General features: G+C 45.6%; 1 protein-coding gene and 1 pseudogene across 5 annotated transcripts in view, besides 2 other annotated features; both read right to left on the bottom strand.

Annotated features, from left to right (window-relative positions):
• CACNA2D4 (calcium voltage-gated channel auxiliary subunit alpha2delta 4) overlaps nt 1–14,381 on the bottom strand; it is a 126,690-nt gene that overhangs the window by 68,655 nt on the left and 43,654 nt on the right. For 2 of the 5 annotated variants that reach the window (NM_172364.5, XM_047429898.1), the window contains exon 18: nt 13,987–14,058. The exons of the other annotated variants lie outside the window; for them this stretch is intronic. In NM_172364.5, the coding sequence (NP_758952.4) occupies nt 13,987–14,058 (72 nt within the window). The remainder of the gene's footprint in view (nt 1–13,986; nt 14,059–14,381) is intronic. 5 annotated transcript variants of the gene reach the window in all.
• On the bottom strand, nt 4,666–5,177 carry LAMP1P1 (lysosomal associated membrane protein 1 pseudogene 1; annotated as a pseudogene).
• Nucleotides 9,998–10,499: an enhancer, noted in NCBI's record as "H3K4me1 hESC enhancer chr12:1979781-1980282 (GRCh37/hg19 assembly coordinates)". NCBI's record gives its function as "activates a minimal SCP1, AML or CMV promoter by ChIP-STARR-seq in naive H9 embryonic stem cells {active_cell/tissue: H9 hESC(naive)}" and the evidence as "EXISTENCE:reporter gene assay evidence [ECO:0000049][PMID:30033119]".
• Nucleotides 10,500–10,999: an enhancer, noted in NCBI's record as "H3K4me1 hESC enhancer chr12:1980283-1980782 (GRCh37/hg19 assembly coordinates)". NCBI's record gives its function as "activates a minimal SCP1, AML or CMV promoter by ChIP-STARR-seq in naive H9 embryonic stem cells {active_cell/tissue: H9 hESC(naive)}" and the evidence as "EXISTENCE:reporter gene assay evidence [ECO:0000049][PMID:30033119]".

A 14,381-nucleotide genomic window follows, 5' to 3' on the forward strand; every position in this document is an offset into this window, starting at 1 on the left:
GTTGAGGTTGGGGCTGTCAGTGTGTGCTAAGAACTTCTGGAGCCCATGTATACATACACAATCCACTTAAACCTCCTCGCCCTCAAAGACACCCAGGGAGAAGGGGTGCACCATTCTCCCTCCACTGTCATCCATGCCCGGGCCACGGGACCCTTTCACAACTTCCTTTTCCTTTCTAAGCTGCCATCTTTTAGCCTTGGTTTACTTTGTATAAACTAGGGCATCATGTAGTACAAAAGTGGCTAAGGGCATGGCTGGGCTTAGATGAACCAGGATTGAAGCCCAGCTCAGCCACTTTCGACCTGTGTGCTCTTGAGCAAGTTACTTCACTTCGAGTTCTCATTTGTAAATCAGGATTGTCCACGGCCTCTCTTGCACGAGGCTGCCGTGAGGGTGCATTCGGGGTGCTGAGGTTCTGTGGATTGTCCTGTCCACCACACAAGTTCATGTCATTGGGAAAGCCACATTTTGCAGTTGGCCCAGGACTTGTTCTTATTCCCTTTACTTCTTTCTGACTTTCCTTCTTTGATTTTGGAAACTGGAGCGAGGTGTCAGAAGGGACACAGAGAGAGAGGACGGCAACAAAAGCCTTGCTTTCTCTAGGAAACTGGCTTTATGCCAAATCAGAATGCACCTTTCACAAAACTGGACCCATCCCCTGGTCATGCCCTCTGGCTCCTCTGCCCAGTCAGACCCTCTCTGTAGCTTCTCTCTATTGCAGCGGTCGTGGGATGTCCTGGAAGATGTCTTGGGGGAGTTGGGTGCCCTGTGCTCCAAGGAGCAGCTGGCTGGAGTGTCAGAACTGGAGATCATTTTTTTATTTTTACTCTTTTTTTTTTTTTGAGATGGAGTCTCCCTCTTGTCACCTAGGCTGGAGTGCAATGGCGTGATCTTGACTCATTGCAACCTCCGCCTCCTGGGTTCAAGCAATTCTCCCACCTCAGCCCCCAGAGTAGCTGGGATTACAGGCACACGCCACCACACCCAGTTAATTTTTGTATTATTAGTAGAGACGGGGTTTCACCATGTTGGCCAGGATGATCTCAAACTCCTGACCTCAGGTGATCCACCTGCCTCGGCCTCCCAAAGTGGTGGGATTACAGGCGTGAGCCACCATGCTCGGCCTATCTTTTTTTTTAATTGAAGGAAAGGGTGGATGCACAGATCTTCCATGTATTACCTAATTAGCTTCGATACATGTATCCAGCCCTGTGATTACCAACCTGTCAAGGTACAGAACAGCCTCTCCAGTCTCTCTGCCTACCCCTTCTGGTCCATCCCATCCCACTCCTTCACAGGCAAACTCTGTTCTGGATTCTGTCACCATAGATTGGTTTTGCCTGTTCTTATAGTATGACACACACAAAAACTGCGTCTGGCTTCTTTTGTTCAAAATAATGTTTTCAGCGTCCGTCTATATTGCTGTCCGTCCAGTAGTTTGTTCCTTTCTGCTGCTGAGTAGTATCGCAGTGTGTGGACACGGCCCAGTATGCTTCTACGCTCATCGATTGATGGATATTTTGGTATATTTCAGTTGTTCCTCCTTTGGGGCTATAGTGAATAAAGCTACCATAAATATCCTGGGACATGTGTTTGCATTTCTCTTGGTAAAAATCTAGGAATGGAATCTGGATCACATGGTAAATGTATGTTTACCTTTATAAGACAACTGCCAATTTCCCAAAGGTGTTTTGCCATTTTATGCTCCTATTAGCAATGTCTGAGAGTTCCAATTTCTCCACAGCGCTGCCAGTATTTGGTGTTATTAGTCTTTTAAATTTTAGCCACTATAGAGAATCTTGCAGTTTTTTGGTTTTTGTTTTGTTTTGTTTTGTTTTGACAGAGTCTCACTCTGTCGCCAGGCTGTCTCACTGCAGCCTCAGCTTCCCGGGTTCAAGCAATTCTCATGCCTTAGCCCTTGAGTAGCTGGCACCACAGGCACACACCACCATGCCCAGCTAATTTTTGTATTTTTAGTAGAGACGGGGTTTCATTATGTTGGCCAGGCTGGTCTTGAACTCCTGGCCTCAAGCGACCTGCTTACCTCGGCCTCCCGAAGTGTTGGGATTAGAGGGATGAGCCACCGTGCCCGGCTAAGTCTTGTAGTTTTGATTTGCATTTCTCTGATGACTAATGTTGAGCATCCTTGCACAGCTTCCTTTACGAAGTGTCTGCTCAGTGCTCTGAGCATTTTTTATTTGGCTTTAGTCTTTTTGTTATTGCTTTGTAGGAGTTCTTTATGTATTTTGGATACAAGTCTGCCTGCTTTTTCATTTTCTTACTGGTGCCTTTTGAGGAGCAGAACTTTTACTTTCAATGAAGTCTAGTTTATCAGATTTTATTTCATGTTTAGTGCTTTCTGTGTTTTTGCCTAGGAAATCTTTGCATATCCTCAGGTTGAGAAGATTTTCCCCTATTTTTTCTTGTAAAAGCTTTACAGTTTTAGCTTTTACATTGAAGGTTATGATTCATCCAATTAGTTTTTGTATGTGGTATGAGCTATGGCTCAATGTTTCCCCTCCCCCATACATTTATTCAGTTGTTCTAGGACCATCTGTTGAAAAGATTGCCTTGCTCCAATGACACTCCAAGGTGTCTTGATTGAAAAATCAATTGATAATATATGTGTGGGCTATTTCTGGGTTCTCTATTCAGGTCATTGACCCATTTGTCTATTCTTTGGTCAATACCACCCAGCTTGGTTATTGTAGCTTTATAGTAAGTTTTGAAATCAGATACTGTGAATTGTCCAAATTTGTTCTTCTATTTCAAGATAATTTTGCCTATTCTAGGTCCTCTGCATTTTCATATAAATTTTAGAACCAGCTTGTCTGTTTCTAGGAGTCTGTTCAAATTTTGATCGGATTGCGTTGAATCTATAAATCAATTTGGGGAGAATGAATGTGTTAACAATACTGATCTTAACCCATAAACAGAGTTATATCTTTCTATATTTACTTTTTTCTTTGATATTCTTTCCGCAATGTTTTGTAGTTTTCAGTGTAGAGGTCATATATACGTTTGTTAAATTTATTCCTAAGTATTTTATGTTATTTGATGCTATTGTCATTGGAACTTTAAAATATTTCATTTTCTTTCTTTTTGGAGAAAGACACTTTTCGTTAGCATTGTTACAGGCAATGCATTATGTGAGCTGGTCCTGTGTACAACCATCCCAAGCCACAGCAGACACATCAGTAGATAATATCTATCTAATATTGTACACAGCGCAGAAACAGGATCACCCTGAATGTCAACAGAAGACTGAAAATCACTTTACAAAAAAAAAAAAATAATAACACCCATTTTCATATTTTAAAAAGTGCCAGCCCTTGAGCAGCAGAGTTTCGGAAATGCGGGAGGACATGCCACCAGGTGCCTTCGCTGGAACGTGGCCGCCAGCCGTGAGTGGCCGGGCCCATCCCGTCCAAAGACAAATGTCTGGAGTGCTTCCGCTCATCTTTAAAAGGCGGCCAGGCCCGTTTATCTTTGGAGTTCTTCTGTCTTAGGATTTTCCCTCTCTACTGTTTGTAATTTCATGAGCATGTCAGCCTAACGGTGAGCCGACCTTCAGGCTCCTAAGCGTGAAGGCCGGAGACTCTCCCTTTGTAAGGCTTAAATCTGAGTGCAGCAAAGAATGAGGAAACCAACCCCGGACATTTTAAAGTCGAATGACAATGGAGCCAGTGCCAATGTTGAGAAGCACTACCACCGTCCCTTAGAGTTCTATTTTGGTAAATACGAATGTTTAACCAGTTGGCAAAATATTTAACCCAGTTAGCAAAATTAACACCGTCATTTCCATAGTTACTCTGCCGTGTATGGCAAATGCTGCAAGATGAACATCCCATTTGATGAAGCACATTTGAGAAATGTTTGCCAGAAAGTGTGCCTCTGTCTCAGGACCCTAAGCCCAGGGGGATGAACAGAGACCCCAGCAGCTCTGTGCCTGCTGCCGTGCGGGTGACTCCTCTTCCTGCCGACAAGGTGGGCGATGAGAACGAGGAGGCCCAGTCCCACCAGGGCGCCGCCGACGGCGATGGGGATCGGCGTGTTGTTCTCGCCCAGCAGACGCTCCTCCGCAGATCCGAACTGGTTGCCTTCCACCTTGAAAGCCTGGCCCCACACTGGGAATATGTTGATTGAAAACGCCTTCGTGCCGCGGACACGCTCCGCTCCGGCTGTAGAATTGCCGATGGCTGCCCGCAATGCTCGCAGGGAGTCGTTGGCAGCTTTAAAAGTGGGGTCTCTGGGGTCAGGAAGAGTCGTATTCAGCTGGATTCCTCGTAGGAAAATCCGGCTAGAACCTGCATTCATCCCCAACCGGAAGCCCAGGACCGTGGTGCCCTCGCCGCGCCGCTCCCGGGTCTCCAGGTGGGCGCCGCGCTCCCGCTGGCTGAGGTCATGCCCAGGTCACCGTCGCGTGGTCCCTCCTCTCTGGGTGAGGTTCAGCTGCAGTCCCGCGCTGGCCGGCAGGCAGGCCCCGTGGGTGCCGCTCACGCTGTACCTGGCCACGGAGGGGAGAAGGGGCTCTCGGCGCCGTGGCGGGGAAGGCGCGTCTTGCTCGTGGCGCGTCTCTCCCTTGCTGAAGCTGCTGTTGGAAATCTAGGCCTGGATCGGGGCACCGCGGAGCCTGATGGTCTCGCTGTTCGTGCGGACCTGGGGGCCTTGATATCTGGTAGAGATTCCACAGTCCTGATTTCCTTGGAGCTTGCACTGAGGAAAATGTGTGTGTCTGACAAGTTGTAAACAAAACTCATGAGCTGGACGCTGTCACGTGTCGCACTTCTTGTGAAATGGAAGGTCAGTGTCTGTCTTCCTCCAAAGCACAATCGCGTGCCTGGGGTCGGAAGTGTTCTCTTTACTGCAAGAGCCACTGTCAAGCACTTCCGCATTGGATGGCAGGTCAAAGGTCACATTCTTAGAGCCACTCTTAGAGTCGTAGTTCATCGAGAAGGCAGCGAAGCTGGCCATTACGCAGGCTGTCCCGTTGCCCTTTTTCACCGCATCCGCTGCGGCTGCACCACGCACGAGGCCCAGCAGCAGCAGCAGCACCAGGGGCAGCCGGGGGCTCCACCAGATGCAGCCCGGGCGGCAGGCGCGAGGGGAGCCGGTGTGTGGGGAACCGGGGCGCGGGGAGGCGGTTGCGGGGCGCTGGCCTGAAGGACGGTGGCGTTCCTGGACCAAAAATATTCCATTTTCTGTTTGCTGCTATATATGCAAATAACATTAATTTTTATAAAATCGTGTTCTCTGAACTTGCTAAACTTACCTATTAGTTCTAGTGTTTGTTTTGTAGATTCTTGGGATGTTCTATGGAAACAATAATTTTGTCCCTGAATGAAGGCAGTTTTACTTCTTCCTTCCTTGTCTTTGTGCCTTTTATTTTGTTTTCTTGCCTTACTGCAGGGGCTGGGACCTACAGTGCAAGGCTGAATAGAAGTGGTGAGAAGTCCTCCTTGCCTTGTTCTCAATTTTAGGGTGAGAGTGTTCAATATTTTACCATCAAAAGTTAGCTCCAGGTTTTTCATAGGTGCCTTTCATCAGAGGGAAGAAGTTTCTTTCTGTTCTTAAATTTTGTCAAATGCTCTTTTAGCATCTATTGAGATTACCCTCTATCTTTTCTTTTTTATTCTGTTAATGTAATAAATTGCACTGACTGATTAATTTTTTCAATGTTAAATTAACTTTAAATTTTTGAGATAACTCTGCTATGTGCTATTGTTGCCATATAATTTACACTTACATATATTACAAACCCCACAATGCAACATCGAAACTTTTGCTTTAAATAGTCAGTTGTCTTTTTGAGAAATTAAGAGAATAAATAAAATATAGTCTTTTATTAACCCACATTATTTATCATTTCCAGTATGGTTGATTCTGTCCTGTAGACCTGCAGTTGATGTCACTTTATTTCAGCCTAAAGAATTTTCTGAAGCATTTTTGCTGCTGGTCTTGATAATAATGAAACCTCTGTTTCCTTCTATCTGAAAATGTCTTTTTTTGTTGTTTGTTTTGGAGACATAGTCTCACTCTGTTGCCCAAGCTGGAGTGCAGTGGCATGATCACAGCTCATTGCAGCCTCAACCTCCTGGGCTCAAGTGATTCTCCCGCCTCAATCTCCTGAGTAGGTGGGACTACAAGTGCATGCCACCACACCTGGCTAATTTTTTTTTTTTTTTTGTATTTTTTTGTAGAGATGGGGTCTCCCTATGTTGTCCAGGCTGGTCACGAACTCCTGGGCTCAAGTGATCCTCCTTCCTTGGCCTCCCAAAACGCTGGGATTACAGGTGTGAGCTACTGCCCCGGCCTGAAAATGTCCTTACCGAAGACATTATCCTTATTTTTGAAGTGTATTTTCTCTTTCTACAGAAATTTGAGTAGACAGTTTTTTCTTCTCTTGGCACTTTAACGATGTTATTTTGTTGGTTCTTATATACAGCAGTCTTATTGTTTCCCTTTATGTAATGCATCTTTTTTCCTTTAGCTTTTTTGAAGATTTTCTCTTACCTTTGGATTTTAGTAGCTGGACTATGAAGTACCCAGATGTGGTTCTCTTTGTCTTTTTATCCTGCTTGGGGTTTGCTGAGATTCTTGGATCTGTAGATTGCTGTTTTATGTCAAATTCAGGACATTTTTGACAATTAGTTTTTCAAATATGCTTTTTTTCTGCTTGAGTTTTTCTCCTTACCTTCTAGGGCTCCAAGAACATGTAATTAGACCACTTGATACCATCTCACAGGTTGCTGAAGTTCTGTTTCTTTCTCTGTCTTTTTCCCCATTTTCCCCCTGGTTTTTAAATTGGATAATTTCTACTGATCCATCTTTAAGTTCACTGTCCCTTTATTCTACAACCTGCTGGGAAGCCTATCCAGTAAAGCTTTCGTTTCAGATACGGTACTTTTTGGTTTTAAAATTTTCATTTGGAAGCATAAGAAACAACAGCTAAAATAAAAAGTGACTAATACCTTCTGCATAGCAAACAATCAATAAAATGAAATGGCAACCTATGGATTGGGAGAAAATATTTGCACATTTTATAAGGGACATAAAAATCTTATAAAATATATGGTTTGCAAATATTTTATAATATCCGAAATATATAAGGAACCCACACAACTCAACAGCAAAAAAACCAAAAAACAACACCACCACCCCACACATCCAAATAATCTGATTTAAATATGGACCTGAATAGACCTTTCTCAAAAGAAGACATAAAATGGCCAACAGATATTTGAAAAGCTGCTCAACATCATTGATCATCAGAGAAATGCAAACCCAAACCACAATGAGATGCCACCTCATACCTCTTAGGATAGCTTCTACCAAAAAGACAAGAAATAAGTGTAGACAAGGGTGTGAAGAAAGGGGAACCTTTGTACACTGTTGGTGGGAATGTAGGTTGGTGCAACCACTGTGGAAAACAATATGGAGGAGCCTAAAGAAATGAAAAGTAGAACTGCCATGTGACCCAGGAGTCCCACTTCCATGTATATACCCAAGGGAAAGGACATCACCACCTCATAAAGATACCTGCACTTCCATGTTCATTGCACCATTGATAGCCAAGATATTGAAACAACTGAAGTATCTGTTGATGGATGCATAAAGAAATTGTAGTGCTTATAAATACAGAGGAATATTATTCAGCCTTAACAAAGAAGGAGATTCTGCCATTTGCTACAACATGGATGAACCTAGAGGACATTATGCTACGTGAAATTAGCCAGACACAGAAAAAAATGCTGCGTGATCTCACTTATATGTGGAATCTAAAATAAAAATGGAATACATAGAAACAGAGAAAAATGGTGGTTACTAGCAGCAGGGGAAGGCACGGTGGGAGGTGGGGAATGAGAAAACGTTGGTCAAAAGGTACCATGTTGTGATTATCTAGGATGACTAAGGCTAGAGCTCTAATGTACAACATGAGGACTAGAGTTCATTGTATTGTATTGTATTGTACACTGGAAACTGGCCAAGAGCACAGAGTTTAGGTGTCCTTACCACACACAGGCTAAAGCAAAGGTAACTATATGAGATGATGGGTATGCTAATTTGCTTGACTGTAGTCATCCCTTCACTTCACTTTGTATATCAAGATAAGTACAGTTGGTCCTCCCATATCCACAGGTTCCACATCCCTGGATTCGATCAACTGTGGATCAAAAAGTATTCCAGAAAAAAGGATAGTTGCATCTGTACTGAATATGTACAGACTTTTTCTGTCATTATCCCTTAAACAATACAGTGTAGCTATTTATATAGCAATTACACTGTATTAGGTTTTATAAGTAATCTGGAGATGATTTAACGTATTAGGGAAGACTGTGTAGATTACACATAAATCTACACCATTTAATAGAAGGGACTGGGGCATCCATGGATTTTGGTATCTTTGGGGTGTCCTGGTCCAATCCCCATGGATGCTGAGGGATGACTGCGCATCACGTTGTGCACCTTAAATATATACAATCGAAAAGCAGGTCTAAAGCAAGAAAAAAATTCCTGTTTGGTTCTTATAATGATTTTGTACTGTGTCAAATTAGCTAAGCTGGAACTACACTTCCAGACTCAATGCCCAGTGTGGTTTCGAGTCAGGGTCAGCCAAAGAGAAGTGTGTGTGAGATTTGCAGACAGAAGTGCAGCAGTAGCCGTTTTGCACACTGAAGTCCGCACAGAATACCAGGCTCTGCCACTCTTTGCTGTAACCTACCGTCGTGCTTTCTAGGCATGGGCCGAAGCCAGATTCAAAGCCACCCGCTGCTGCTGGCTCTCCTCCTTCAGTTTCCCTGAGACCTAACCTGGTGAGGATGCAGCTCCTCATGGAAGGCACTGGCTCCGTCTGCGGGTCATCTGCCATCCTGATGGGTAGAGTTGGTGAGTGACAGATGTGGGTTTCAGTTTGTTTTCACGGATTCCTGTTTTTCCTCTTGAGTTCCAGTTCGTTCTTGCTTTCTTCCACATCTCATCCAGCTTTCCTTCCCAACTGCTGGTCATGCTGACCTACAATGACTTCAAGCTCACCATTGGATGCAGACACCAGCTTTCCATAGATTTCATAAACAGCTCCCACAGTTTCATAAGGTCTAATCCCTACGATAAAATCCTACATTCTATCACTCCCAGGGGCTCTGTTCTTTGACCAAGCCCTAACCATTTCTCCGCTGAGATTCTCCATCTGTTCCCTCATTATGAACATCTTTTCCTTTACACAGTTACAATGTCTGCACTAAAGTCATTCTAATTCTAACAGCTGGGTCATAACACTTTTTATTATATACTGGATATTTGAGGGGTAGGCTGTAGATACTCTTGTCTTCCTTTGAAGGTGTTTTTGTATTAAGCAGTAGTTAAATGATGGGTTGATAAGAACTGAGCATATAGAGGCTTGAATTCACATTTTGTTTGGGTGGGTCTGTCTCAGCTTTGTCTTTAGGCCTAGGGCGAATCTCTTGGTCGTGGGACAGTCTTTACTCCTAAGGTGTAGTTCTTCTGTGCTTTCAAAGGAAATCCTGAGGTGTTTACCAAGCCCCTCCACCTCTGTGTGACTCACACTCCAAACTGTCCCTACTACACGTGCAAAAGCTGAGATCCCGTGTTGAGATCCTGCTCTGGAATCCTGCTTTCGGCTTTCCGTGTTGCATTCCACTGGGGCACCTCGAGGCTTCCCTGTGTCTGCAGGGCTCAGGAGTCAGCCAGGAATTTCAGAGGAGTTTGTAAACAGATTTGGGGTCTAGCCTCCCTGTGGCTCGCTGCTTCTGGGCTAGCCCTCCTCATTTCCAGACACTCTGGAAATGCAAATTCTGTTCTCTGACACTTCACGGTGACAACCTTGCAGCCTTCTGCTTGAATTCTAGCTGTTGCGCTCCAGACAGACTGGGGAGTGCCCTTTGGGAAAAAGAGCCATCAAAACGCATATCACACCCAATGCAGTTCTCTTGATTCAAGGGTTGTTGCTGCCTGCTTTTGGTCGCTTTCAAGTGCCTTTCCGTTTTTGTTTTTTGTATTTTGTTCAGAGTTTATAATTGTTATCTGCTGAAGGGTGAGTCTAGTCAAGCTACACCTTACTCAAATGAACTTTGAGATCACCTTTTAAGGCTGAAGTAAAAGGAAGAGAGAAGGGGTGTGGGGGGTTGGGAGGGGGTCTGTGAATTCTGTTAACAGAAAGAGAGAGCGCGAGAGGTCTGGAAGACGAGGCTGGGAGTAAAGAGGTATCTGAGCAATCTGCTCCTTTAATACACTGACTCCTTCTGCCGGACAAAAATGTGAGGGGAAGAGAGAGAGAGAAAGACAGTGTAAGAGCACGTCACAGAGTACTCTAGCCCTGTGTTCCTGAAATCCAGGGTGCAGGGATTCAAGGGCACTGGAGGAACACGAGGCAAAGCTGCTCTGAATGCCAGCCGCTGGTGTGTGTGTGTATACGTGTGTGTTGCTGGTGGTGTGTACGCACGTGTTGCTGGTGTGTGTGTACGTGTGTGCTGCTGTTGTGTGCATATGTACACGTGTGTTGCTGGTGTGTGTGTACACATGTGTGCTGCTGGTGTGTGCCTGTGTACACGTGTTGCTGGTGTGTGTACATGTGTGTGCTTCTGGTATGTGTGTGTACACATGTGCTGCTGGTGTGTGTACAAATGTGTGCCACTGGTGTGTGTGTACACCTGTATGTTGCTGGTGTGTGTGTATACGTGTGTGCTGCTAGTGTGTGCATGTGTACACGTGTGTTGCTGGTGTGTGTACATGTGTGTGCTGCTGGTGTGTGTGTACACGTGCTGCTGGTGTGTGTACAAATGTGTGCCACTGGTGTGTGTACACCTGTATGTTGCTGGTGTGTGTGTACACGTGTGTGCTGCTAGTGTGTGCATATGTACATGTGTGTGTTGCTGGTGTGTGTGTACATGTGTGCCACTGATGTGTGCGTGTGTACACGTGTGTGCTGGTGTGTGTACGTGTGTGTTGCTGGTGTATGTGTGTACACATGTATGCCGCTCGTGTGTGCATGTGTACACGCGTGTTACTGGTGTGTGTACACGTGTGTGCTGCTGGTATGTGTGTACACATGTGCTGCTGGTGTGTGTGTACACGTGTATGCAACTGGCATGTGTGTACAATACACGTGTGCTGCTGGTATATGTACATGTGTGCTGCTGCTGTGTGTGCATATTCATGCGTGGACTCCAGTCAGTGCAGTTAATTTGGAAGAACCCAGAGGCTAGGAAGGAACACTCTGTCTGCCCCTTCCCTCCCCCATTGCTAATTATTGTTTGAAATGATCAAAAACGAGAATGACAGAACGACTCCTAGGTTAGACTCCAGGACACTTTGCTCTTCTGCTTTCTTCTTTTAAACTTGTGTCTGAGGGTGTCTGGCCAGCATGCTGCTGATGGGTTAGAAATTGTGGCACCTGTTACTGGTCTGCAATTTGGGACAAAACCCCTGCCATCAAAGTGGCAAATGGGAGGCCCGCCAGCCAAAACTGGGCTTCTTACGAGTTTAACATCCTAGATGTTGGCCCAGGTTGTGTTTTTAACATTTTTGGAATGAGTTGCACATGTTTCAAACATGGGTCTTAGCCGTCTCCTGCAGATGGTGTGTGTTCTCTCATCTGCCACAGTTCCCAGAGCCCCCTGCACGGAGGCCTGTCTGCTTCTCTTACTCGTGTTTATTAACAAATACAAGTTTGGCCCCATAGGTTTCTGGGTTTGTGAGTCCTGCCTTAAATCATGCTGTTGACGTGTGGAAAATAAGGATACCTATAAAATCCCCTGGAGAAAACAACACGGCAGGCGGTCCTGTACCGGGAGATGGCTCGAACAGTAACAGTTATTCCCACAAGGCTTTTAGAAAGCTTTCCTCAGCCTAGACCTAGACCTGGAGACGGTTTCTACTGAGAAACCAGCTCGTAAGTTGAGACACACCACTGAGCTGAGAGGGAGGGCTGGGATAGATCAGCAGGCAGGCCGACCATGGGGCGGTTGGATGGCTCTGTGAGAGCTGTGTGGAGGAGACAGGGCCTTTGGCAGTGAAGAAAACGCAGCCACTTTGGGGATGAGTGGCAGCCTAAGACATCAGAGCAGTGAGAGCCAGACACTGCCTCGGCGGCCCCACACCAGCAAAATGCCCTGCACAGAGTGGAGGCTGCCAGGCTCCTGGGGTCAGGGTGAAGAGATGGAGGATGAAGGAGGACTGTGTGGTGATAGAATGGGGTAGAGGGAGAGGAGAAGGCGATGAGTGTTCAAGGTGGAATAGAAATGCTATGCTAAAGCAAACTCTGGGAAACCTTTAAGGCTGGAGAGTTGAGAATTCAGGGCCAGTCCTACAGAAAAGGCCTTCTAGAGCAGTGGTTACGAATGGGAGATCTCGGAGCAGTTACACATGGGCTTTGCAGTTGATCATCTGGGTGACCCTGGGCAAGTTTTTAGCCTCTCTGAATATCCTCATCTGTCAAATGGGGATAGGATAGGCCCACCCTCAGGTTGTGAGTGTTCAATGAGTGAATACTTGACAGCGCCCAGCCCAGTTTCTTATAAATGTTAGTTTCCATCATTATTATTAGCTGTACTAATAGTAGTAAGACATGAACCCCTAAGTGCCATGGAACGTCCATTATGGTCATGATCGTCGTCATCCTCATTGAACGTTCTTTATGTTGAAGCACCCGTATATCAGGAAGCCTTTGCGAAATTGCAAATATGTAACCCAGATGGTCTATTAGTAGCAATGAACAAACTTTGAAAGGATGGGCAGAGGTTTCAGAAGTTCAGCCTACTGCATTTGGTTAGGACTCTGCCTCAGTGGCTCTGAGAAGCATAAAAGCAGCACGAGATTCCTGGGCACTGGGGGAAAGGGTAGAAGAGAACCACACCCACTGCATGTGTCAGTCTGTATTAGATACAGTATAGCCACATTCAGATCTACCTTTAAGCTGTCCTGTGCCATAAGCAGACTAAATTCTTCATTGTCAGTTCAGTGCTGTGGCCGTGCTGGGCTCCATGAGAGCTCATCTGTGCATGTGATCAGGAATCTGGTTGGGATAAAGGTGGGTGCCTGTGGAAGAAGCCTCTGTTCTTTTGGATCAGGAGAAGGAACAGCTGCCACTGGTGGTCTGACCTCACTATAGTGCCCAGTCTGCCTGCAGGAGGCCTTTCTCAGCCCAGAGCTTACAAAAAGCCAGGCAGATGCCACCAAAATCAGACACTGGTCCCAGTGAAAATCAGTCTGGCCTAAAAGGGATGCTTCCTTGTCTCTCCCTGTGCTTTCTTGTTTGGCTTTCATGGAGGTCTGTGTTGTGGAAGAACTTGGGTCTAATTGCTGCAGGCAGATGCCTGTGCTCTTTCAGCTGAGGCAGATGGGCAGGGGAGGAGGAGGTGGGGGTGGCTGTGAGGGAGGAGGTGACATTTGTAAATATGTCAAGGGACAATGCAGAATCAGTAGACACATTGGAACCTTTTAAGTGAGAAGATGAAATGATCTTTTATAAACGATGCACATGGTTGTAAAGATAGTAATGGGATTAGTGAGGGCATTGATTCCTAACTATCTGGGAATGACAGTGGATGAAAATCAGCTGTAGGGAATAGTGAATATTTCAATCTCTTCCTGTATAACACTTCACAAGAGCTGCTTACCATTTACAAAATCAGCTGTCACGTTTCCCCTTTTCATTATAAACAACAAAAGGGCCAGTAGCAGGCAGCATAAGGAGGAAAGAAGAGCTGTAAATGCCTTGGCCAGCTTTCTCCCCAGCTCAGCGGTCTCCCAAAAGCCAAGCATTGCATGAGCAATCCTGTCATTCCCTGGCTAGGTGTTTCTCCAGGGCCAATGCACCCTGCGTATACTCCCTAATGGACCCTCTAGGTGCAGCAAGCACTCAACTCTTCAGCTATAATTAGGCTAAGTCCAGGTCCCTCGTCACTACTCCAAACCCAATTAATGAAGATGCCTTCCTAGGCCATGCCCTGGCTGTTTCTAGCTCCTTACCCCTTTATCCATCGGAACCTTCACATCCATCGAGAGAGTACCTGTTTCCCTATTGATCATGGCTGTTCTCAGCTTCAGGAGGAAAGACAATGGCATTAGTTCCTTGGCTCACAGGGGATGGTGAAAGTATGGCATTCTTCAGACCAGATTAGAGGTGATCCCCAGAAACACTTTTGGTTCTTCCCTTTTTCCTCTGAGAGAGATACCAGGAGGGAAGATGGACCTGACTCTAAGCTCCATCTAGCTCATAATTCCAGGCATTCACCAAGATCCCACTCCCATGTGCACTGATGCATTGGGGTACAGAGTGCCAAGTTGCTGGGACATAATTTCCTCTAGGACGAGATATTGCAATCAAAAGCCAGGCTAAAACATCACTAAAACTCAGACTCTGC

The sequence above is a fragment of the Homo sapiens genome, chromosome 12, assembly GCF_000001405.40.
Source record: "Homo sapiens chromosome 12, GRCh38.p14 Primary Assembly".
Lineage (NCBI taxonomy): Eukaryota > Metazoa > Chordata > Mammalia > Primates > Hominidae > Homo > Homo sapiens.